Source organism: Homo sapiens, chromosome 15 (assembly GCF_000001405.40).
Source record: "Homo sapiens chromosome 15, GRCh38.p14 Primary Assembly".
Taxonomy (NCBI): domain Eukaryota; kingdom Metazoa; phylum Chordata; class Mammalia; order Primates; family Hominidae; genus Homo; species Homo sapiens.
The window spans coordinates 54,519,943-54,545,389 of record NC_000015.10 but is presented as its reverse complement, the minus strand read 5'-3'; the positions used below and the strand labels follow the sequence as shown (position 1 = coordinate 54,545,389).

Below are 25,447 nucleotides of genomic sequence, written 5' to 3'. Positions count from 1 at the left end.
GCCCATGTCTATGTCCTAAATGGTATTGCCTAGGTTTTCTTCTAGGGATGTTATGGTTTTAGGTCTTAGGTTTAAGTCTTTAGTCCACCTTGAGTTAATTTTTGTATAAGGTGTAAGGAAGGGGTCCACTTTCAGTTTTCTGCATATGGCTAGCCAGTTTTCCCAACATCATTTGTTAAATAGGGAATCGTTTCCCCATTGCTTGTTTTTGTCAGGTTTGTTCAATATCAGGTGGTTGTGGATGTGTGGTGTTATTTCTGAGTCCACTGTTCTGTTCCATTGGTCTATATATCTGTTCTGGTACCAGTACCATGCTGTTTTGGTTACTGTAGCCTTGCAGTTTAGTTTGAAGTCAGGTAGCATGATGCCTCCAGCTGTGTTCTTTTTGCTTAGGATTGTCTTGGCTATACAGGCTCTTTTTTGATTCCATATGAAAGTTAAAGTAGTTTTTTCCAATTATGTGAAGAAAGTTAATGGTAGCTTGATGGGGATAGCATTGAATTGATAAATTACTTTGGGCAGTATGGCCATTTTCACAATATTGATTCTTCCTATCCATGAACATGAAATTTATTTCCATTTGTTTGTGTCCTCTCTTATTTCCTTGAGTAGTGGTTTGTAGTTCTCCTTGGAGAGGTCCTTCACTTCCCTTGTAAGTTGTATTCCTTGGTATTTTATTCTCTTTGTAGCAATTGTGAATGGGAGTTCACTCATGATTTGGCTCTCTGTTTTTCTATTATTGGTGTATAGGAATGCTAGTGATTTTTGCACATTGATTTTGTATCCTGAGACTTTGCTTAAGGTTCTTATCAGCTTCAGGAGATTTTGGGCTGAGGCGATGGGGTTTTCCAAATATACAATCATGTCATCTGCAAACAGAGACAATTTGACTTCCTCTTTTCCTATTTGAATATCCTTTATTTCTTTCTCTTGCCTCATTGCCCTGGCCAGAACTTCCAATACTATGTTAAACAGGAGTGGTGAGAGAGGGCATCCTTGTCTTGTGCTGGTTTTCGAAGGGAATGCTTCCAGCTTTTGCCCATTCAGTATGATATTGGCTGTGGGTTTGTCATAAATAGCTCTTATTATTTTGAGATACGTTCCATCAATACCTATTTTATTGAGAGTTTTTTTAGCATCAAGGGCTGTTGAATTTTATCAAAGGCCTTTTCTGCATCCATTGAGATAATCATGTGTTTTAAGTTGCTGGTTCTGTTTATGTGATGGATTACATTTACTGATTTGTGTATGTTGAACCAGCCTTGGATCCTGGGGTGAATCCGATTTGATCATGGTAGATAAGCTTTTTGATGTGCTGCTGGATTTGGTTTTCCAGTATTTTATTGAGGATTTTTGCATCGATGTTCATCAGGGATATTGGCCTGAAATTCTCTTTTTTTGTTGTATCTCTGCCAGGTTTTGTTATCAGGATGATGCTGGCTTCATAAAATCAGTTAAGGATGAGTCCCTCTTTTTCTATTGTTTGGAATAGTTTCAGAAGGAATAGTATCAGCTCCTCTTTGTACCTCTGGTAGAATTCGGCTGTGAATCTATCTGGTCCTGGGCTTTTTTTGGTTGGTACATTATTAATTACTGCCTCAGTTTCAGAACTTGTTATTGGTCTATTCAGGGATTTGACTTCTTCCTGGGTTTGTCTGGGGAGGGTATATGTGTCCAGGAATTTATCCATTTGTTCTAGATTTTCTAGTTTATTTGCATACAGGTGTTTATAGTATTCTCAGAAGGTAGTTTGTATTTCTGTGGGATCAGTGGTGATATCACCTTTATCATTTTTTATTGTATCTATTTGATTCTTCTCTCTTTTTTTCTTTATTAGTCTTGCTAGTAGTCTATCAATTTTTATTAATCTTTTCAAAAAACCAGCTCCTAGATTCACTGATTTTTTGAAGGGTTTTTCATTTCTCTATCTCCTTCAGTTCTGCTCTGATCTTAGTTACTTCTTTTCTCCTAGCTTTTGAATTTGTTTTTCTTGCTTCTCTAGTTCTTTTAATTTTGATGTTAGTGTGTTGATTTTAGATCTTTCCCTCTTTTTCCTGTGGGCATTTAGTGCTATAAATTTCCCTCTCAACACTGCTTTAGCTGTGTCCCAGAGATTCTGGTATGTTGTGTCTTCGTTAGTGAAGGAGACATAAAATCCTTTACAGACAAGCAAATGCTGAGATATTTTGTCACCACCAGGTCTGCCTTACAAGAGCTCCCAAAGGAACCAGTAAATGTGGAAAGGAAAACCTGGTATCAGCCACTGCAAAAACATGCCAAATTCTAAAGACCATTGACACTATGAAGAAACTGCATCAACTAATGGGCAAAATAACCAGGTAGCATCATAGCGACAGGACCAAATTCACACATAACAATATTAATCTTAAATGTAAATGGACTAAATACCCCAATTAAAAGACACAGACTGGTAAACTGGATAAAGAGTCAAGACCCATCAGTGTGCTGTATTCAGGAGACCCATCTCATGTGCTAAGACACACATAGGCTCAAAATAAAGGAATGGAGGAATATTAACCAAGCACATCAAAAGCAAAAAAAGCAAGGGTTGCAAACCTAGTCTCTGATAAAACAGACTTTAAACCAACAAAGATCGAAAAAGACAAAGAAGGGGATTACAAAATGGTAAAGGGATCAATGCAACAAGAAGAGCTAACTAATATAAATATATATGCACGCAATACAGGAGCACCCAGATTCATAAAGCAAGTTCTTAGAGACCTACAAAGAGACTTAGTCTCCCATACAATAATAGTGGGAGACTTTAACACCCTACTGTCAATATTAGACAGATCAATGAGACAGAAAATTAACAAGGATATTCCGGACTTGAACTCAGCTCTGGACCAAGTGGACCTAATAGACTTCTACAGAACTCTCCACCACATATCAACAGAATATACATTCTTCTCAGCACCACATTGCACTTATTCTAAAATTGACCACATAATTGGAAGTAAAACACTCCTCAGCAAGTGCAAAAGAACAGAAATCATAACAAAGAGTCTCTCAGACCACAGTGCAATCAAATTAGAACTCAGGATTAAGAAACTCACTCAAAACCGCATGACTACATGGAAGCTGAACAACCTGCTCCTAAATGACTCCTGGGTAAATAACGAAATCAAGGCAGAAATAAATAAGTTCTTTGAAAACAATGAAAAATAACTTTTAAAGCACACAAAGTAAAATATCTTTAAAGGCAAATGATCCCTTTTTATTCATATTTAAGACTTATTAAACCTAGAGCAATTTCTGATATCGGTCACCTAGGTTTGGCATGACAGTTGAGAAAAGGACAACGGAACCCATATTTTTCACCCATGTTACAGCAGCAGAAGGCAGACCATTCTCCACAGTGGAGTCAGTCTCCCAAAGCACACGATTTTCACCCTCACCCCGATGTGTATTTAGTATACGCCAATGTTCATGGTCTAGGAACACCAAGGAAATACATTTTCAGCACTACTGGGCACTGGACCAACATAACAACATGGCAAAGGTGTATATAATTTCAATCAAGAATAAAAATTTACCTATTTTAATAGGTGTAAGGTATTCCTTACAAATTCTTCTCATGGTGACATAATGATGTAACATTATCTAGCATTTGTATAATACCTATACAAGCTATTCTTTAGAAACTTCTTCTGTATATATTTCTCATTTACTAGTATACCCATATTACAACTCAAAAACAGGCACAGAGGCTTGGGTACTTGTCCACGGAAGTGAAGCTAGTAAGTTAGATTCAAAGTTTGACTCTTCTAAATCCAGCCTGTCTTCCAATGTCCCATACTACCTCTGATGAATGTGCTTATGCAGGATGTTCCAGCCTATTTGAAGACACAGTGCTGCCTAAGTATCTATTAAATATACTATCATATGACCCTGGCCTCTTTGAGTCTCTAAGTGAATTAAACCTGTTTCACAGAGAGCCAAAGATGGGTCATATATTTCAGGGCAGCCTCATTGACTCCCTATAATGCTACTCTGTATGCTTTTGGACTCGGAAATTATAACCTGGGCTCTAGTCATGACAGACACATTTGGCTGTTTTTAATATTTAAAGATATACATAATTGTATTTATATAATTACAGTGGATAACATTGAAAGGCATGTGACATGTGAGAGGCATATACAGAGATTTTCAAGACACATTTTTATGTTAAAGTATTTATCCTAACACTGTGTATGTAAAAGCCCAATATATAAAAATATGTGAAAGCAACCTTCTCTGGATAAAGAGGAAGGTTGGGGACCCCTGAGGCATGTATGTGGAACTCCGGCTCCTGTAATTTGAAAACTGTTTTTCAGGGGTACCATTTTTAGCTTGCTGGTGAGTATTTGGCATGGACATAGGGTACAAAACAGCAGATGTGTCATGGCAGAATAACAAAGGCTATCCACAGAAAAATTCCTGGTATGATTGGAGACACAACAACTCTGCCAATTTTGCTGCAGATGTACAATTTCCACTTTCCAAAGATCCAAGTCTAAGAATTAATCTTGTGTTTACGGTCAGCTCACATACTTGGCATGCTGACTAACCCTGCTTAGACCGGAACTAAAAAAATAGGAATAAAATCATTGTCACGTGCGCAGCTCGTAGGATTTCTTTTAGTTAAAAATGCAGTTTACACCTCAATTTGTGAAGGGGTAAGGTCTTAGTGGAGAAAGTGCAACATAAAGAAGGAAGATGTTTTATTTAGAGAGGCTGCACAAAGACAAAAAGAGCTTATACATTCGCAATATAACATGATTTCTAAGGGAATTTTCTCAAACCACCTTGAAGACTTTCAAACCTCTATTGTTTATTTTAAATAATAGAAAATAATGGCAAACTAGCAAATGCCTCTTTAATTCAGTCTGAATTAATCAACTTGATAATGTAAGCTGAAAAGCATATATTTTAGAACCTGAGCTATCTAGATTGGCTGAATACAAAACTAATTAATCAGACAATTTTCAAATGCCATGTGTATTGGTTGGCAATAAAGATTTCCTGTCATATAATTAATCGCATTTTCATGAAAATTTACCTAGTTGTTTTCCCTCCCCTTGGAATGCCTGTCCCTCATTTTCATATATCTAAACTTTATCCACCTTTAAATACCCAATCCAAATCAAATTTTTATTCATTCTTTGAAGTAGAAATAAATATTGTACTCATTATCACTTTACATCTTACGTTTATTTGTATTCCTTTCTTATTTCTCCTCCTAAACTATTAGCTCCTTGAAAACAGAATCAATATCTGGCTTTTAAGCATCTCCCCTATGCAGTGGCTTTTAAGTTATGCATTCTGAATTAGCCCTGAGGATTTCTGCAATTCTCCATGACATATTTCTTTCAAAAGTTTTAAATGTCTTTTACAAATGCTTAAAGCTCATAGATTATTTCCTAACTTTATACGTTATCTCTTTCCACCAATAATTAAAAGATATGACACATATGGTGACATAATTTTCTAATTATACTTTAGTAAGACTGAGTAAAAATAAGAATCAAAATGTACTGAAAATAAGAGTCAACCCATTTTATCTATTAGCCCCGTTTTATAGATGGTGAAATGGATTCAAAGTCACTCAGCTAATAGTTGGAAGTACCAAGATTACTTAAAACTTTCTGTTATGTTCCACAACCTTGGCCACAGGACATAGAAAGCAAATAGTTTTGCTAATAATAAATAATACTTCTCCAAACTACTGATTGGACTTCTAAAAAACAGAAGGCATTCCAGTGAGAGGTTGAAGTGAATTGGGATCGCTTGGGCCTGCTATTCATCACCATCACATTCACAACCAATGTTGGGGTGTTTATAGTGATCCATTTCTGTGTTGTCCATAGAAAAGAGTCGTATACTAAGATAAAAATGTCCAGAGAATGTATAGAAAATTATGTTGTAAAAGTGAAAGTCTACATTAACTAACTAAAGAAATGAGGAAAAGTAATTCTCCTTCTCTCTTTCTTTACTTCTTCCCTTTCCTCTCTCCTTTCTTCTGCTTTTCTTCTGCACCTACTTCCCTACCTACATCCTATTATCTACTTACCTATATACCTATCTTCTAGATATTTCCCCACAGAGAACAAAACATAAGGCTTAATTTTCCTACCAAATATTGACATTAAATAAATAACAACATTAGACTTATGTAGTAAGAAGGCAACCAAAGGTAAATGGAATTAAAACAGAAGTCATAGTATACAGAAGATATTTTCCTATGAGTTATTTCTTTTTTATCCTTACCTATTTAAATATTTTATAATTATGACTGTGGGAAAATTTAGATGGAAAGAAAAAGAAATGCACTAAATAAGTTTAATTACCTGGAAGAATATCCAACTTTTTTTTCCTTTCCAACTCTTATTTAAATTCAGAAGGCACGTGTGCAAATTTGTTACATGGGAAAATTGCATGCTGTGGGTGTTTGGTGTACAGATTATTTTGTCACCCAGGTAACAAGTATAGTACCCAATACGTAGTTTTTGATTCTCACCCTCCTCCCGCCCTCCACTCTTAAGTAGGCTCTAGTGTCTATTGTTCCCTTCTTTGTGCCTATTTGTACTCAGTGTTTAGCTCTCACTTATAAGTGAGAACATGCAGTATTTGGTTTCCTGTTCCCGTGTTAGTTCACAAAGGATAATGGCCTCCAGTTCCATCCATGTTGCCGCAGAGGTCATGATCTCATTCATTTTTATGGCTGTGTAGTATTCCATGATGTATATGTACCACATTTTCTTTATCCAGTCTACCATTGATGGGCTATTTAGGTTGATTCCTTGTCTTTGCTATTGTGAACAGTGCTGCAATGAACATACGCATGCATGTGTCTTTACGGTAGAACAATTTATATTCTTTGGATATATGCCCAGTAATGGAATTGCTGGGTTGAATGGAGGTTCTGTTTTAAGTTAGTTGAGAACTCTCCAAGCTGTTTTCCACAGTGGATGAATTAACTTACATTCCTACCAGCAGTGTATAAGCATTCCCTTTTCTACACAACCTCATCAGGATCTGTTATTTTTTAACTTTTTACTAATAGTCATCCTGATTGGTGTGAGATGGTATCTCATTGTGGCTTTGATTTTCATTTCTTCAATGATTAGTGACGTTCAGCATTTTTCTTTATGCTTGTTAGCTGCTTGTATGTCTTCTTTTGAGAAGTGTCTACTCATATGCTTTGCTCATTTTTAATGGGTTTTTTTTTTTTTTTTTTTTTTTTTTTTTTTGCTTGTTAATGTATTTAAGCTCCTTATAGAGTCTGGATATTAGACCATTGTCAGATACATAGTTTGCAAATATTTTCTCCTATTCTGTAAGATGTCTGTTTACTCTGACAATAGTTTCTTTTGCTCTGTAGAAGCTCTTTAATTAGTCCTATTTTTTGTTTTTAGTTTTTGTTGCAATTGCTTTTGGAATCTTCATCATAAAAACTGCCAGGGCCTATGTCCAGAATGGTTTTTCCTAGGTTTCTTCTAGGGTTTTATAGTTTTAGGTTTTACATTTAAATCTTTAATCCATCTTGAGTTGATTTTTGTATACAGTGAAAGGAAAGGGTCCAGTTTTAATCTTCTGCATATGGCTAGCCAGTTATTCTAACAACACCATTTGTTGACTAGGAAGTTCTTTCCCTTCCTGCTTGTTTTTGTTGACTTTGTTGAAGATCAGATGGTTGTAGGTGTGTGGCTTTATTTCTGGGTTCTCTAATCTGTTTCATTGGTCTATGTGTCTGTTTTTGTACCAGTACCATGCTGTTTTGATTACTGTAGCTTTATGGTATAGTTTGAAGTCAGGTCCTGTGAGGCCTCTGGCTTTGTTCTTTTTGCTTAGGATTACTTTGACTATTCAGACTCTTTTTTGGTTCTAAATGAATTTTGAAATTTTTTTTTTCTAATTCTGTGAAAAATATTGCTGGTAGTTTGATAGGAATAGGATTCAAACTGTAAGTTGCTTTGGTAGTATAGCCATTTTAACAATATTGAGTCTTCCTATCCATGAGCATGGAATATTTTTCCATTTGTTTGTGTCATCTCTGATTTCTTTCAGCAATATTTTGTAATTCTTGTTCTAGAGATCTTTCACCTCTCTCATTAGCTGTATTTCTAGGGATTTTCTTGTATGTGTGTATGTGGCTATTGTGAATGGAACTGTGTTCTCGATTTGGCTCTCAGTTTGGATGCTGTTGGTGCATAGAAATACTACTGATTTTTGTATATTAATTTTGTATCCTGAAACTTTGCTAAAGTTGTTTATCAGATCTAGAATCTTTTGGGCAGAGACTATAGGGTTTTGTATGTATACGATCACATCATATGTGAACAGAGATTGACTTTCTCTCTTCCTATTTGGATGCCTTTTATTTATTTCTCTTGCCTGATTGCTTTGGTTAGGACTTCTAGTACTATGTTGAATAGGAGTAGTGAGAGTGAGCATCCTTGTCTTGTTCTGGTTCTCAAGGGGAATGCTTCCAGCTTTTGCCCATTCAGTATGATGTTGGTTGTGGGTTTGTCATAGATGGTTCTTATTATTTTGAAGTGTGTTCCCTTAATGCCTAGTTTGTTGAGGGTTTTTAACATGAGGCGATGTTGAATTTTATTGAAAGCCTTTTCTGCATCTATTGAGATGATCATGTGGGTTTTGTATTTAGTTCTGTTTATATGGTGAATCACATTTATTGATTTGCATCTGTTAAACCACCTTGCATCCTAGGAATAAATCCTACATGATAATCCTGAGATAGCTTTTTGATATGCTGCTTGGTTTGATCTGTTAGTATTTTGTTGAGGGTTTTTGCATCTATGTTCATCAAGATATTGACCTGAAGTTTTCCTTTTTTGTTGTGTCTTTGCCAGCTTTTAGTATCAGAATGATGCTGGCCTCATTGAATGAGTTGTGGAGTAGTACCTCCTCCTCAATTTTTGGAATAGTTTCAATAGGATTGGTACTAGCTCTTTTTTACGCATCTCATAAAATTTGGCTGTGAATCCATCTGCTCCAGGGCCTTTTCTGGTTGGTAGGCTTTTATTATTACTGATTCCATTTCAGAACTCATTATTGGTCTGTTCAGGGTTTCAATTTCTTCCTGGTTCAATCTTGGTAGTTTGTATGTTTCTGGGAATTTATTCATTTCTTTTAGGTTTTCCAGTTTGTGTGCATAGAGGTCTCTGTAATAGTCTCTGAGGGTTATCTGGATTTCTGTGGGGTCGGTGGTAATGCTCACTTTGTCATTTCTGATTGTGTTTATTTGAATCTTCTCACTTTTTCCCTTATTAGTCTAGCTAGTGGTCTACCAATCTTATTTATGCTTTCAAAAAACAAACTCTGTTTCACTGATCTTTTGTATGGTTTCTCATCTCTCAATTTGATTCAGTTCAACTGATTCTGGTGATTTTTCTTCTGCTGGCTTTTCGGTTGGTTTATGATTTACTCTTGTTTTCCTAGCTTTTCTAGGTTGTTAAATTGATAATTTCTAACTTTTTGATCTGGATGTTGAGCACTATATACTTTTTTCTTAACACTGCTTTAGCTATGTCCCAGAGATTCTGGTATGTTATACCTTTTCTTTTACAATTTTCAAAGGATTACTTGATTTCTGTCTTAAATTCATTGTCAAAAGTCATTCAGGAGCAGAATGCTTAATTTCCATGTAATTGTATAGTTTTGAGAGATCATCTTAGTATTAATTTCTAATTTTATTGTACTGTTGTTTGAGAGTATGGTTGGTATGATTTCAAATTTTTTGAATTCATTGACAATTGTTTTGTGGCTGATTGTGTGATTGATTTTAGAGTGTGTGCCAAGTGCAGATGAGGAGAATGTATATTCTGTTTTTGTTGGGTTGAGTATCCTGTAGATGTCTGTTAGATCCTTTTGGTCAAGTGTAGAGTTTAGGTCCTGAATATCTTTGTTAGTTTTCTGCCTCAGTGATCTGTCTCAGTGGGATGGTGATATTATTGTGTATTTATCTATGTCTTTTCATAGGTCTCTAAGAAATTGCTTTATAAATCCAGATACTCCAGTGTTAGGTGGATATATGTGTAGGATAGCTAAGTCTTGTTGAATTGAACCCTTTATCATTATATAATGATATTGGGTTTTTTTGGATCATTGTTTGTTAAAAGCCTATTTTGTCTGAAGTTACAATAGCAACCCCTGCTCTTTTTTGTTTTCCATTTTTTAGGTAGATTTTTCTCCATCCCTTTACTTTGAGACTATGGGTGTCATTGCATGTGAGATGAGTCTCTTAAAGACAGCTTCCTGCCTTTTAAGTGGGACATTTAGTCCATTTATATTCAAGGTTGATATTGATATGTGCGATTTTATCCTGTTGTTGCGTCTTTAGCTGGTTGTTATGCAGACTTGATTGTGTAGTTACTTTATAGTGCCTATAGTTGATATACTTAAGCGTATTTTTGTGTTGGCAGGTATTGATCTTTCATTTTCATGTTTAGCACTCCCTTAGGGACATCTTGAGAGGCAGGTCTAGGGTAACAAATTTCCTTAGCATTTGCTTGTCTGAAAAGGATATAATTTCTCCTATGCTTATAAAACTTAGCTTGGATACTAAGACTGCTGATTATATTAGGAAATTCTTATAGTGAGTTTTGCAGCTCCATCAGACCACTTTGATTCTTTCTTAAAATGGCTATTTTGTCTTTTAGCCCTTGTATCATTAGATTCCTTGGGTTCCTTGGATTGGCTTTTGACTTTCTCCTGAATTTTCATCTTTTTTCCTATCCAGATGCCAAATTCTTTATCTGTCATTTCAGCCACATCTGCCTGGTTAAGAACTATTGCTGGGTAGCTAGTGTGGTTGTTTGGAGGTAGTAAGACACTCTGGCTTTTTGAGTTGCCAGAGTTCTCATGCTGGTTCTTTCTCATCTGCATGGGCTAATGTTCCTTTAATCTTTTAAGTTGCTGTTGTTCGAATAGTGTTTTTTTGCTTTTATATTCTTTCATGCCTTTGAGGCTTTGAGGATTTGACTGTGGTATATATTGGGTTCAGTCAAAGTCAACTGGCTTCATTTCTGGAAGATTTCAGGGGGCCAAGGCTTAACTTGGCATTCCTGGATTGCATGTCCTAACCCTGGGGCCTGGTACCAGGCCCATTACTTTGTTTTCTGTCTCCTCAAGGACAAGCACCTGCTGCACTGGAGGGGCGAAGGTGTTCCTGGTCTTCTGGTAACAACAGTCTGATGGAGAGTGCTGGCCAAAGCACTTTGCTGGGGCAATGGCTGGTGGCAGCGATGCAGTGGTGTTTACGTGTGCTGGTGGCAGCAGCAGCACAGTGGGGTGACTGTTGTCCTTGTCTTTAAGGAAAGACATTGTAATTTTTCTTTTATTTAAATCTTGGTCCTTTTGATATTAGTTTGCCACAACAATAATAAATGAGATTATGTAAACTAACATATATGACACTGGTCCCTTGGTAGGCATTCAAAATTATTATTCACTTTTCTCTTGTACATTCAGTTCTGGTTTTGAGTATCACTGTTTACGAAATCATGTTTCTGGTTGCTTTAGATCAATGATTCCCAATCCCAACTGTGGACACATTACAAATTGTAGGTGCTCTGACCCTGCCTCAAACTTACTAAATTAGAACTTCTAAGAGTAGGAACAGAACAAAAACCTTAAAAACAAACAGAGCAACCAACCAAACTTTCAGGTTAAGAATTTGTCTTAGTCAGTCATAATGGCCTGCATTCCCATGCACTCCCACCACTATTAAACTGTAATCTCCATGGTATCAGGGACTTCGGCTTTCTTTTTCTTCACTGTCCAGTGTGTAAAATATGGTTTGATACAGGTGAGCACTCAATAAATCGTTATTGAAGGTTGGGTCAGGCAGCTATCTGCTTGCCTCTGAGCTAAGTTAATTCTAGTCATATTTGTGCTATTCTCTTTTTCATCAGGTTTCTGACATGAAATCAGCTATTCTGGACTCAGCTCAGTCTTTCTCTATGTCCAGGAGGATTGAAAACAATATGGTATCCAAGGAACATGAAGTTCTAAATCTTTCTCTGCCTCAGAACAGCAACCTCCTTAGTTATAAAATTTATTTCCCCTCTTTCTTTCCTTTCTTGTACAAAGTCATTCCTAATTTATTTTTATCTAGTAATCAATTAAAGGTATGTTGCTTTTTAATGAATTTATTTATTTATCTTTGAATTCATTTATTTCTATAGAAAGACTTTTAATGCTACCTTACACAGAGGAAAACAATGTTTTTCTTAAAGCCTTAAAGGTCAAATTTAGGGCAATAAGTAAAGAGAAAACTGGGCAAAAAAACTTACGTTTTGTCCAAAAAATCCATAAGAGATCTTAACACAATCTCTGCATCCATTGCTGCACTGTTCTTATTAGATGTGGTGTTTCCATTTGCTCTCATTTGATTTAGTTCGAAACTCATCTGTTTTATACACTCTTCAATTATAACCTGGAAACTAAAAATAAAGAATATAAATTCTAAAATATAAGAATACATTTTGCCTGAGCCTGTTCCAATTTCACCCTGAGGATTTTGATCTGTTTCAACTGGTGTGAATTCCCCTGCTCATGAGTTTTCGAATTCAATGTTTAACTGCAAAAATTTTTGTTCCAATGAAAGCTTACGTGTAATACTTATAAGTAAGGCAGATAAAAGTGCTGTTCTTCAGGTTGAATTAATTTGAGTGGAGGTTCATTCAGTCCCCACCTCTGATAGTCACAGTTGAGATGTTCCTCTGAGCACGGTTTGGGAAAATGACTGCTCTAAAAAGACTCTTGCAGTATTTGGTTTTCTGTTCATGTGTTAGTTTGCTAATGATAACGGCCTCCAACTCCATCCATGTCCCTGCAAAGGACATGATGTTGTTCCTTTTTTTGGCTGAATAGTATTTCATGGTGTATATGTACCATAGTTTCTTTATCCAGTCTAGGGTTGATGGGCATTTAGGTTGATGCCTTACTTTGCTATTGTGAATAGTGTTGCAATGAGCATATGCATGCATGTGTCTTTATGGTAGAATGATTTATATTCCTTTGAGTATATACCCAGTAATGGGATTCCTGGGTCAAATGGTATTTCTGTCTTTAGGTCTTTGAGGAATTGCCACACTGTCTTCCACAATGGAGCTAAATGATGAGAACGCATGGACACGTGGAGGGGAACAACTCACAGTGGGGTCTATTGGAGGGCAGAGGGTGGGAAGAGGGAGAGGATCAGGAAAAACAACTAATGGGTAGTAGGCTTAATACCTGGATGATGTATTATAATGTGTATAACAAACCCCTGTGACACAAGTTTACCTATGTAACAAACCTGCACATATACCCCTGAACATAACATAAATTTACAAGAAAAATGAAGTACTGCCACTGCCACCATATAAATCAACCATATGCTTAAAAGCATTGTGTTAAGTAAAGAAGCCAGTCACAAAAGACCACATATTGTATGACTCAATTTATATAAAATATCCAGAATAAGCAAATCCATAGAGACAGAAAGGAGATTAGTGGTTTCCTAGGGCTGGAAAGGAGAGTGGAATGGGACTTATTGCTAATGGGTATAGGGTTTCTTTTTTGTGGTGATATCAGTGTTCTAAAGTTAGATTTTGCTGAGAGTTGCACAATTCCGTGAATATGCTAGAAACCACTCACCTGCGTATTTGAAATGGGAGAATTTTATGGTATGTGAATTATATTTCAATAAAATTTGTTGTTAAAAAAAAAAAAAGAAACACTCTTGGCATCTGGATACACCTTCTTCATTTGGATTCTGTGACTCCACACCTTCTCGGCTTTCCTCTGACCTCACAGGCTGCTCCTTCTCAACTGCCTGACCTCTAACCATTGGAGTAAGGTTGCCATATTTATCAAATGAAAGCACTGGACACTGAGTTAAATTTGAATTTCAGACAGTGAATAGTTTTAGTACAAACATGGCCATGTAATATCTGTAACACAATTATACTAAAAATTATTCCTTATGTATCTAAAATTCAAGTTTAACTGAGGGTGTTCTGTATTTTGTTTGGAAATCCTACACTGTGATCCTCTGGGCTTCATCCTTGGACCACTTCACTTCTCCATCAGCAGTCACTTTCTTGGCAATCACATCTAGTCCCATGGCTTCCATAGCATCTATATACTGGTGGTTCTCAAATTCACATCTGCAGACCTGACTTCTAACCCAAACTCCAGACTATTTTATTTAACTGCCCATGCAATCTTTCCACTTCAAAGTCTGATGAGTTTCTCATACTCAACATCCAACCTGTCAGCGAAATGTATCCTAAATCTGAGGATTTATTATTACTTCCGAAAATGCCACTATAGACCCCTTTACCATCCTCCCACTTGAACCTGTGCAATAATTTCCTAAATTGCTTCTGTTCAACCCTCTACAGATAGCCTTTTAAAATAAAAACCAGATCATGTTCCTCCTTTGCTAAAAATCTTCAATAGCTTCCAACTCCACTTAGAAAAAACTCTAGTTGTATTTGACAGACTGAAAGCCCAGCATAATCTGGCGCTGGCAATCTCACTGATCTCATTTCTTGCCACTCTTCCTTCTGTTTCATTGCACCAGCCACAATAGACCTCCTGGTGTTCTTAGAATTCTCTGAGGACACTCTTATCTCATGGCCACTGTTATATTCCCTCTGCCATGGAAGGAAATTCTCATGGCTCTCTTGGTCCCTCGTTAATTTCAGGCATATATCAAATATCACTTCAGAGAAATCTTCCTTGTTCACTCAAGCTGAAATGGCATTCCTATCCATCTCTGTTCCCTTATTGTTCTTTTTTTCTCAATGGCATTCTTCATTATATGACGCACTGCATAATTTAATTTATTTGCTTATTGCCTGTTTCCCTCCCTATAATGTAAGCCCCATGAGAGCAGGAATTTTGTTTTGTTTAGTGCTGCATGCCCATACCATGGCACAGGATGCCATGCTTGGCACAAAGAGGTTATGCAGGAAATATTGGGACAGTAGTTAAAACTGCTGCATTATATACTTGAAATTTGCTAAGAGGACAGATCTTAATGTTCTCAGTACACACACATGCACACAGACAAACACACAAATGGCAACTCCATGAAGGTGATAGATACGTCAATTATCTGGAATGTGGCCATCATTTTATAATGGATATGTATATCAAAACAAAGTTGTATACCTTAAATATACATAATTTTTACATGGTAATTATAGCTCAATAAAGCTATTAAAAAGGAAATATGTGTTGAATGCATCAATGGACCATCTCCTTCCACCTACCTCTATTGCCTCACCCACTCTAAGGATTTAAATGTCACGAAGAGCAATATTTCGTATTGCTTTTTTCATTCTGTATATCCCCTACACCAGTTTTGATGGTTCTTACCTAAGTAAGCATGGCAAGTAGTAAGATATTCAAATCTTGGAGACTGTTAGCATCACCACCATTCCTCTATATTGTCTGCTATTCTCATGTTTCCAGCAATAGGAGTAATAATAACAAATGTGTGGGCAGGCAAGAAAAACTACTTAGGAGAATGAAGATCAATGAAAGCTTGGAAAATGGTCAAATGATTGGAATGGTAATGAGGAGAAGGAGGGAATTCATTTTAGTATTGCAGTCAAGTCATTCCCACTCCTCTCCTCCTCCACACACAATGATGATACAGTTAGTATTTGAGAAGTATCTAAGTGCATAAATTCCTCAGATTTTAAGTAGAAGTTTAGGAATGTTCACTATATAATGCTTTTATTAAATAAAGTATACACATTTATTTATTCATGCATACATTCTCCACATATTTACTAAACTATTATGTGCCAATCACTGTTCTAGGTGCTGAAGATATATCAATGAACAGAACAGGCACAGTGTTTTGTTCTTAGAGCAAATATGAGAACTTGTATTTTAGCATTTACATTATGGAAATATTTTAGTTGACATCTTGTTAAGTATTTCATTTTTCTAGTTTTTGGTTTTCCATATTTGGTTTTCCATATACATATTTCCATGCTTAATATGGAAAAATTTTAATAAATGTTAAATTATCACAACTTGGATGTTTTTCTTGCTTCTGGGCCTTTAATAGCAGGGTTATACATACACTTGTTCATAATTTTGTGTACATATTTAAGGCCTGATTCCACTTCTACCATCAGGTTTGATCTGTCTCCATTTTTGGCTCCTGAATTCTTGGATTTCTTTACTGTTGACAACACCATTCTTGCCCCTCTGGGCTTGGCATTTACATTTGGTTCCTTGATCCTTGCATCTCAGCTGGCCCCTTTGAATTTGTCTCATTTCTTGGCTCTCTGCATATTTATCTGCTTTAAAGGAACATTCTCTTCCAAGCTGTCATCCAAGAGAGTCTAAATCCTTGATTATTTCACTTTTATCTGGCTGAAGCTGCCTTTGCACTTTTGTCAGGTAGAGGTTGCAAGAGATGGTGGGGAAAATGATGAAGGGGATGTTGTTTGTGGTGGAGTGTGTATTGAATCAAAGTAAAGGTAGTAGATACTTGGGGCAATAGAAGAGGAAGGCAAATCATGCTGAAAATATTTTGAACTAGTTGATTTACCACGGGGTCATCCATGATCCTGCTGGCTGTAGTCAAAATCACCTTTGAAATGACTACTTTCTTTTGCACTGATTTTCGAATCAGTGCATTGGGGTGGGGAGATAGACTGATTTTGCACTGATTTTCTTTTGCACTAATTTTCAAATTAGAGCATTGGGGTGGGGGGACAGACTGGACAAGGGGTGTGACAGTTATGTTCCTATTATGTGAAATTTATTTATGCTCCTATTACGTGAAAAAATAGAAAAAGAATAGACTAGAAAAAGAAAAATAGAAAAAGAAAAGGTTTAAAAAAAGCCTGTATTAACTGGTTTGAATAAAAGTAGTGCCAGTAAATAATTAAAGATTTTCGGAGCACCCAAGGAGCCACACACTCACAAAATAATGCCTACGAAATATTCCTGAATTTTTTTGTTTACTTAATCTAGCCAGCCTCTAGTACTAAAGGTGTTGGTTAATAAGAAAAAAAAAAAAAAAGGAGCAAACCAAAAACCAAACTGCAAAACATGTGTAAGCAGAAACCCTAGTGGCACACCTTTTGAAAGTTTTAAGACCATCTTCAAGTTATTGTTGAGGTTATATCACTTAGTCTCAGTTCCCAGGTAGGTGCCCTGTGAGCATGTCAGGATTCCACAAATGTGTGGTTTGGCTCAGCTCTGACTTTACAGCAAAGACATCCTAACAGCTGCATATAGTAGAATTATTTAATTATGAGTTTTAATAACATAAAATCAAGTGGATTTTTTACAATTAATTATGCACTTAATTCTAAAACTCTACACTGCCAATTTAGACCTTAAGAAGAGTAGGTTCAGACTAAAATTGTGCATTGTGACTTCACAGCATGATCACATTGATTACTGTAGACTTTTCTACCCTGACAGTATAATATAGACCTGATTGGTAGTGTGAGGAATAAAGCCACAGCAACATAGCAACAAGGATATAATAATTATATTTTTTATTAGGAAAGCATGACATGTAGCCCATTTATTCCAATAGTCCTAATAAACCCTAATTGAACAGAGTACTAAATTCTTTCCTATATTTAAAAAATCAATAATAAATGGATTCTGGGTAGCCGCAGGTTTTACTGTTTAGGCTAAAATAGCTGGCTTCATACAAATAAAGCTCTTCAAGTGTCCTCCTAAGGATACTACTCCTTCTTTCATAACTGTGGTTTATCCAGATATCTTTCGAATCAGAAAACATATTCTAGCCTTTATAACCTGAATATTCCACCTCCCCAAACAAAACAAAAAGCACTTATCATCAGAATGATTTAGATATTTTACAGAAAATAATTTAAATATACTTTACTTATATTCTAGTTTCTACTCTGTTTAGTCATCTTATTTTCCATAAAGTTCTGAACAACTCTAGCTATTCCTGACCTCTTTTTTTTCCTCCCCCTAACTTTGCTAAATAGTCTCTAATGTTGCCTCTGTGACTGAAGGCAACAGTCTTTCTGCTAACCCCATGTTAATTTGCAACTAGAACAAAGAGAGACACACCTGAAATGGCTCAGCAAAGGCCTCTTCATCTCTCAGTGTCACCCCAAGTCAGAGCCAATGAACCCTACATCTCTGGAACAATCTATGTTTCTCCAACTTCAGGTAAACAGAACCTTGAAATTGCTGACTAACATCCCGGTGAAGTAGGCAGGATCATCCAATCAGCTAACAACACTGCAGAGGCAGAATGACTACCCTTGGCTCAACACAGCAAGGCTGCTCTGGCTCAGCAGCTGAGCCCTGAAGGTGAGTTCCATGAAGACAAGGCCACCTTGCTTAAGGAAGTTACAGACACACCTCTGATAATGAAGAGAAGGCTAAGTGGGAGATTATTCTTCACTCTGCTTTATTCCTACATCTAAGAAGAAAAATATGATGCTTTCAGAGTCTTTTGTCTTTCTTATTTAAAAAATGGCATAACTAATTGATAAATGTTTATTAATAGTGGATCTTTCTAAAACACAACAACAGGTGATGAGTGGTGGCCAGAGATAGTCCCTACCTGAAGAGAGCAATCTTTTTTTTTTTTTTTTTTTTTTTTCTAGACGGAGTCTCTGTTGCCCAGGCTGGAGTGCAGTGGTGCGATCTCGGCTCACTGCAAGCTCCACCTCCAGGGTTCACGCCATTCTCCTGCCTCAGCCTCCTGAGTAACTGGGACTACAGGTGCCCGTCACCACGCCCGGCTACTTTTTTGTTTGTTTGTTTTATACTTTTAGTAGAGACGGGGTTTCACTGTATTAGCCAGGATGGTCTCGATCTCCTGACCTCGTGATCCACCTGCCTCAGCCTCCCAAAGTGCTGGGATTACAGGCATAAGCCACCGTACCCGGCCCTGAAGAGCAATCTTTATAGTCTCTTTTGAAAATTGAACACATAGTTTAAAATAATACATCAGTTATTTAACTAATATTTAAAGCAAATTCTATATTAATGAACCTCTTCAAAAATATATTTTCTTTCCTAGCTATTTTAACATTTTGATGAGGTGATAGATTTTTCCTACAGAACTGAAGTGAAATTTAACTAGGGTGAACTTATCTTTCTTTAGATTCATATCACAGATAAAGCCAGTTTTAACAAACATTTAAAATATATAGATATATCAATAGTTTCCAAACTCCTTCCCATGGGGTAGTTGTATTCAGATTGCTAGGCCCTAAAACCAAGAATCCTGACAATTTGGTATAGGGTTGTTGATCCAGCTATACTGACGGCAACCACACTGATATGCATGGTATGAATACAACTCATACTTCTTATATATGTGAAGTTTTTCTCTTTTCTTCCCTCCCTGTCTTTAGTCTTTCAATAGCCAGTCACCCAGCTCTAAACACTAGAACTGCATATAGGTGTGAGATATGGTTTCTGTCCTGAGTGTGGGAAATAGACAGGTAAAACAAAACTCTGAGGATAGTGTTATAGGTGTTATCCGACCGAAGGATGCACAGAGTTCTAGGGAGTGCATAGCAAGATAGCACTATTAGATTGTGGGGTCATAACAGATGTTTCAGAGAAAATGACATTTAGATTGGGTCTTGAAGTTAAGTAGATTTAGTCAGTCAGAGGAAACAGCATTGAAGGCAAGAATATCATGAACTGACACCTAATTATCTAATTTAGATAATGACAACAGAGGCCACTTACCTTTCACCATAAGTGACGCTGAGCTCATCCAGGACCCCACTGAGCTTAACCTGAAGTTCTTTTAGAATAGTACTAGCTTCAGAATCTAGCTGCAGAGAGACCATAAACAATATTACTTTGGAGTTTTGAGAAAGCATGCCTCTGTTTTGCTTACAAGCATTTTGATTATTATATGGTAACTTCAAACAACATGTAAGCTTTTTTCTCTTCTTTTTTTTTTTTTTTGGTCTTTGAAATCAAATCTAAACATTTAGGAAACTTTAAAGAAACCAAGGGGTTCTCATATACAAAAAATTGTTTGAAATGCAGGGCATGCATACAAGTAACAGCTAGATAACAAAGCCTTTGTTGGTTATAGCAATGAGATGCAAGGCATGACAAAAATATCCTCCAGAACATGATAATTCCGTAATTTAGAAAACCTGTTATACTTCAGCTGAATATATGTGTTGCTTCAAAATTTATTTAAATCTTTAATATCCCTGTAAATAAATAGGCACATTAAGAATAAAAGTTGTTAAAAATTAACTTTTGAATATTGTGTTGTGCATTATTTAAAGGTGTTTTCATATTTCCCCAACTTTGGAATTAAGAGTAATAGGATAGACAAGGTATCCAAGCACGCCCATGTTTTTCTGGAGACGATAGTCCTGACTTTTCTTCCTGGTTGCTAATTTACAGCTGAAAGTTCAGGATAATAGGTCTATTGTATCAAGCAGAGAGAAATTCACGTAAATAGCAATCTGAAATATTCTCTGAAATTGGAACGTGACTCTTTCTTTCTACCTTTAGAAATTTAGTTTCCTACCATTAATATCATTAGTTCTTGCCCAAGCTGATCTACTATTGAAAAGAAGAGGACAGGATAAAGCCAAGTTTGGGGAGTAAAACAAATTAAAGCATGACTTAGTATAAGTAAGAGAATCTAAGAATGCCAACTAAATATAGGACCTAATATCAGTTTAAACTCCTGGGAGCCGATACAGAACCAAGAAGTATCCCTATGAGGGTGCATTGGACATAAGTCCTATAATCCTCCAAGACTATTTTCTGATACTAAGGAACTGTTAGGAAGAAGAATTATTTACATATCTCTGCAGCTGGGTAGCTCTAAGTTGTCCTGATGTGACTAAAAACATTGGAATGAAAATCAAATATTGCATTTGGCATTTGAGACTTTATTAATTATATCAAACCAATCCTTTATATCAGTTTTAACTCAAGTCCGCCTAACTTTCAGGATTGGTTAGCTTCTGCCCTCTATCAGAGGCAATGTGATTTTTCTGGATTCCTTGTATCTTTTTTCTTCTGTCTCAGTAATCAGTTATGGTGACAGCTCTTGTCCAGACACACAGGCTACCATAACAGATAGAGACTTCTATAAGAGTGAGAAAATTAACATATCATAACAGATAGAGACTTCTATAAGAGTGAGAAAATTAACATATCTGTGAGCTTCATACTTTCTAGAGTTCTATTCAGCTAAAACCAGTTGCAGGGAAGTAATTCAGAAAGACAATTAGATAGTACATACTTATTTTAAAAAGACTTAAAATATGGATAATGAATTTAATCACAATTTGCCTAACAAACTATAACTCCCTAACCCCTAACCAAGAAAACATATGTGGATTTTCCACTCCAATCCTAAGGAATCATGCAGGCTGAATTTTTTTAAATGATATTTTCTTGTTATTGTGCTAATAACAATTTTACCTTGATTTCATTTGATAAAAATGTTGGGGAAGAGGGAATGAGAGATAAGTTCTGCCATGTGGCTTTCTTCAGGCTCTCCACTTCCTGCTCACATGGGTGGTAGTTCCCCACCCATACCTCTACCACCTCCAAGGGAATCGCTCTGAAAGCAGTATTTCCTTCAGGAAATGGGGGTTGCTTCTTATTTAAAATGTGTTTTGGTTTCCATATTAGTTTAATATACACACTGAGGTAATTTGTTCACATTGAGGTAGGATTATCACCAGATAAGGCCTTCAAGGTCATACAGAAATGGCTACATAGGTCACTTGCACAAAATTATGCTATTTTCTTATAGAATTATTTTAGTCCACCTTAGGTATTTGGTGAATAGATATTTCTCATCAAATAATTATTAGTTGACAACCTAAAACTGCCAGACTACAGCGATTTGAACATTGGATGACAGTTTTAATTTCTGGATACATAGGTATGTTTCTAAGCAGGTGCAGACGGAATGTCTCTGTTATGTAACCAGTCCCTCCCACAAAAGGAAAAGTTTTAGTTTCAGTTAAGTATTTAACGTTTACATGATCTGAATCATACCATTAAAACAGGCAAAGCAATTCTGAGGCCAGTGTACATGGCTCTTCAAATTGCAGATCTTTTTCAATAATGAGCATAATGGACATAATTATCATACTCATCTAATAATAAAACAATCTCTTTAGGTAGCAAAACTACCAGTTTTTGAGTTCTTCTGCATTACTCTATGTGTCCAAATTGAGGACATTTTTCTTACTCCTACAAATTTTGTAAAATTTTAAGAAATAATAGATTGGGAGCTGAGAGCTCATTGCCTGAATTATCAATAGCATATTTTTAAAATTATTGGGTACCTTGTAAAGGTAAAAGGCAATCTAATATTTTTTCAAAGGTTTAAAGCTTATCCTAGTTATATAAGTAGTATAACATCAAAATTATCTTGAATCTTTTTGTATTGTTATTTAGAGTTATTGTTAAAAGCAAAAATTAAGAGGGAAAGAACAGAAAAATTTCGAATATTCATAAGTCACAGTGTATTCTAAAGTAGAAACTCAATTAGCATGTGTATGAACAACTTAATTGGTTGGCTGGCTAAAAAAATAAAGTTTCTATGTAATGAGGAATATACACAATGAAAATTTAAGGATTTTGAGTCAAATTCTGAATTTAAAATAAAGTTTTCAAGACAGATTTAATTCCCCACTCTACGAAGGGCTTGGGAATTTCAAAATCTAGGCTGCCAAAGTATGGTTCAGATGATCAGAATAAACTATAATCCCACATAGGTATTAACTGAGTTTTACACCATTGAGGTATTTTATACCATTGAGCTGTGGTAATAGATATAACTTGTCTGGGAGAGCCAGCTAGTAGGCAAGACTTTTTGTTGTTGTTGTTGTTGTTGTTTTGTTTTGTTTTTGAGACAGAATCTCGCTCTGTTGCCCAGGCTGGAGTGCAGTGGCCCGATCTTGGCTCACTGCAACCTCCACCTCCTGGGTTCAAGCAATTCTCCTGCCTCACCCTCCAGAGTAGCTGGGATTACAGGCACCTGCCACCATGTCCAGCTTTTTTTTTTTTTTTGTATTTTTAGTAGAGATGGGGTTTCACCATGTTGACCAGGCTGGTCTTGAACTCCTGACCTCAGGTGATCCACCTGCCTTGGCCTCCCAAAGTGCTGGGATTACAGGCGTGAGCCACCGCGCCTGGCCAGAAAGACATCTTTTAAGTTATTTTCCTTCATCTTAAGTTATTTTCCTTAAGGCTTACTTTTCCTTTTTCTTTAAAAGATAATTCACTTATCTCCTTTTGCAAATTTTCGCTCAAGTGTAGCTAGCCCTAGGCAGTTAGTAGATCTAGCCTCTACACTGACTATGCTCTTTACTATAACTGTGTATGCAGTGTTCTCTCTAAATGCTCTCTTATAAATCTACCTCTTCCATAGAACTTGTTCATACTTTTCTATCCTGGGTATCTGTTCCAGTGTCCTGCATGCATGGGCATTCACCACATGTTGAGGAAGGAAGTGAGGATAGACAGAAGCATAAAAATTCCCTCACAGAAGCAGTCCTATATCATCTTCATCTCCTTGGACTGATACCTTGCATTAACTATGAATAGGATATTTTGCCCTTGAAATCTTTCATTCCTTAGAAACCATATATTCCAGAGTTATCAAGTTAATCCTGATTTCAAATATCTATCTCATTGCCAGACCATGTCAGGTGTTTCCCTGCTATTTGTTTGGTTCAGAAGAATGGTTACCATACCCACACTGCATGTTTGTTTGTTTTCCAGAAAAGATTATTTCCCTAGAGGTCTAAAGAAAATACATGTTATATATTCTCTTACAGCAGCAATTGTTAAACTGACCCTCAAGCTCTTGCTAGAGTTACAAGCAATGAGTTGCAAAGTCATTTAAAAGTCATTTAAACTCTTCAGATAGCTCAATATAAACTCTTGAAAAATAGACTTTGCATGGAAGAAATTAAAGATCTTTAGTGTGAATTTTATTTCTTCTTCACAGTCTTTATTACTATCTCATTTCCTTCATTTCCTACGAGCTACAAAGCTATCTTTCCTGTGTTCAGCTCATCAGTGTTATCGGTTATTTTCTGTAAAGAAGTGCAAATCAGGAAGGAAGGTAACTTCCTGGCCATCTCACCAGGGGCCAAAATTTAATCATTATTCTGGTAGGTTTCATACTCTCCAATATTTTTGCATTAAAACATTAATAAATAAAAATTTCACCTCTAGTTCCATGAAAAAGCCTTATTTCCAAGAAAAATGCTGTTTAACTTGCACTCTTGGTTCCTTCTTTCGGATTTTGTTCCATCAATTATCTCTTTCCCTTTTCATTCCCTCTACCATTAATTTTATTACCCCATCCTATAAATATGCTCAAGTAACATTTATGTTAAAATAAACAACAGACAATGAAAGAGAAGCCAAACTTATTTGGAACTACATTCTCATTGACATCTAGCCAATATCCTTCCTTCTTTTGATCTTCAGACTGCTTACAACAGTGTCAGACTTGTTGACTCCACATCCTTTTCTCCTAAACATTCATTAGTTCTCTGCAATGTGGCTTGCTTCTGTTACAGATATGCCACTGACGTGTTTCCATATGGTCACCAATGATTTCTTAATTTCAAGGACCTTATTTATCTTAGCCTTCATTCATACTGTTGTTTGCTCTGTTTCCCAAGGTCCTTCCCTGCTTCTCTAACTGCCTGTGATTTGTCTGTCTTCTGTTAACTTTCCTCCTCTGTATATCCCTGAAATATTAGTGTCCTTCAATTCTCCTTTTTCAGTCTTCTTTTCTTTTTACTCTGTACTCCCCTTGAGCAATTAAATTCATGCCCATGGCTTCAATTATCACCCATATGCTAAGGGCCCCAAATCTATTATCAACATTCTTAACAGCATGCCTGAGAATCATGTCTATATTTCCAAGTACCTAGTAAACTTCCACTTTGATGGCTCATACATGCTTCAGCTGTAGCATATCAAAGCACAACTTATTACTATTCTTAATTTATTTATCTTCTTATTTCCTCTGATTTGGTTAATGGCCTACAATTGTTTAAGGCAGAAATGTGAAAGTCATCTTTGACTTCTGTTTTCTTCCCTCCATATTTACTTCCATACCAAATATGATTGGTGATATCTCTGAAATGTTTTATCCACCTGCCTTTTCCTCTTCACTTCCAGATTCTGAATTTTTCTCCTCTAGCCTACTGTAATCATCTACACATTGTGTTCCTATTTCCTGTTTCCCCCCTTCATCCTCCTAACTGGTGTAATAAACCCAAATATGATCATGACACTGGCGTATCATCCTTCAAGCTGGCTTTCCACCAGGGAATTGCTTCAAGCAACTTCTCACAATCTTATCTGGGCTCTTGCTTTTTTTATGTTTTCTTTTTAAAACATCATTTTCCTTCAAATCTTC

At 36.3% G+C, this 25,447-nt stretch overlaps 1 protein-coding gene across 7 annotated transcripts in view; it reads right to left on the bottom strand.

Annotated features, from left to right (window-relative positions):
• Window positions 1-25,447, bottom strand: part of UNC13C (unc-13 homolog C) — a 795,839-nt gene that overhangs the window by 88,051 nt on the left and 682,341 nt on the right. For all 7 annotated transcript variants that reach the window (XM_047432538.1, XM_017022220.2, XM_017022221.2 and 4 more), the window contains 2 exons: window positions 19,753-19,841; window positions 12,324-12,473 (listed from right to left, as the gene is read on the bottom strand). In XM_047432538.1, the coding sequence (XP_047288494.1) occupies window positions 12,324-12,473; window positions 19,753-19,841 (239 nt within the window). The remainder of the gene's footprint in view (window positions 1-12,323; window positions 12,474-19,752; window positions 19,842-25,447) is intronic.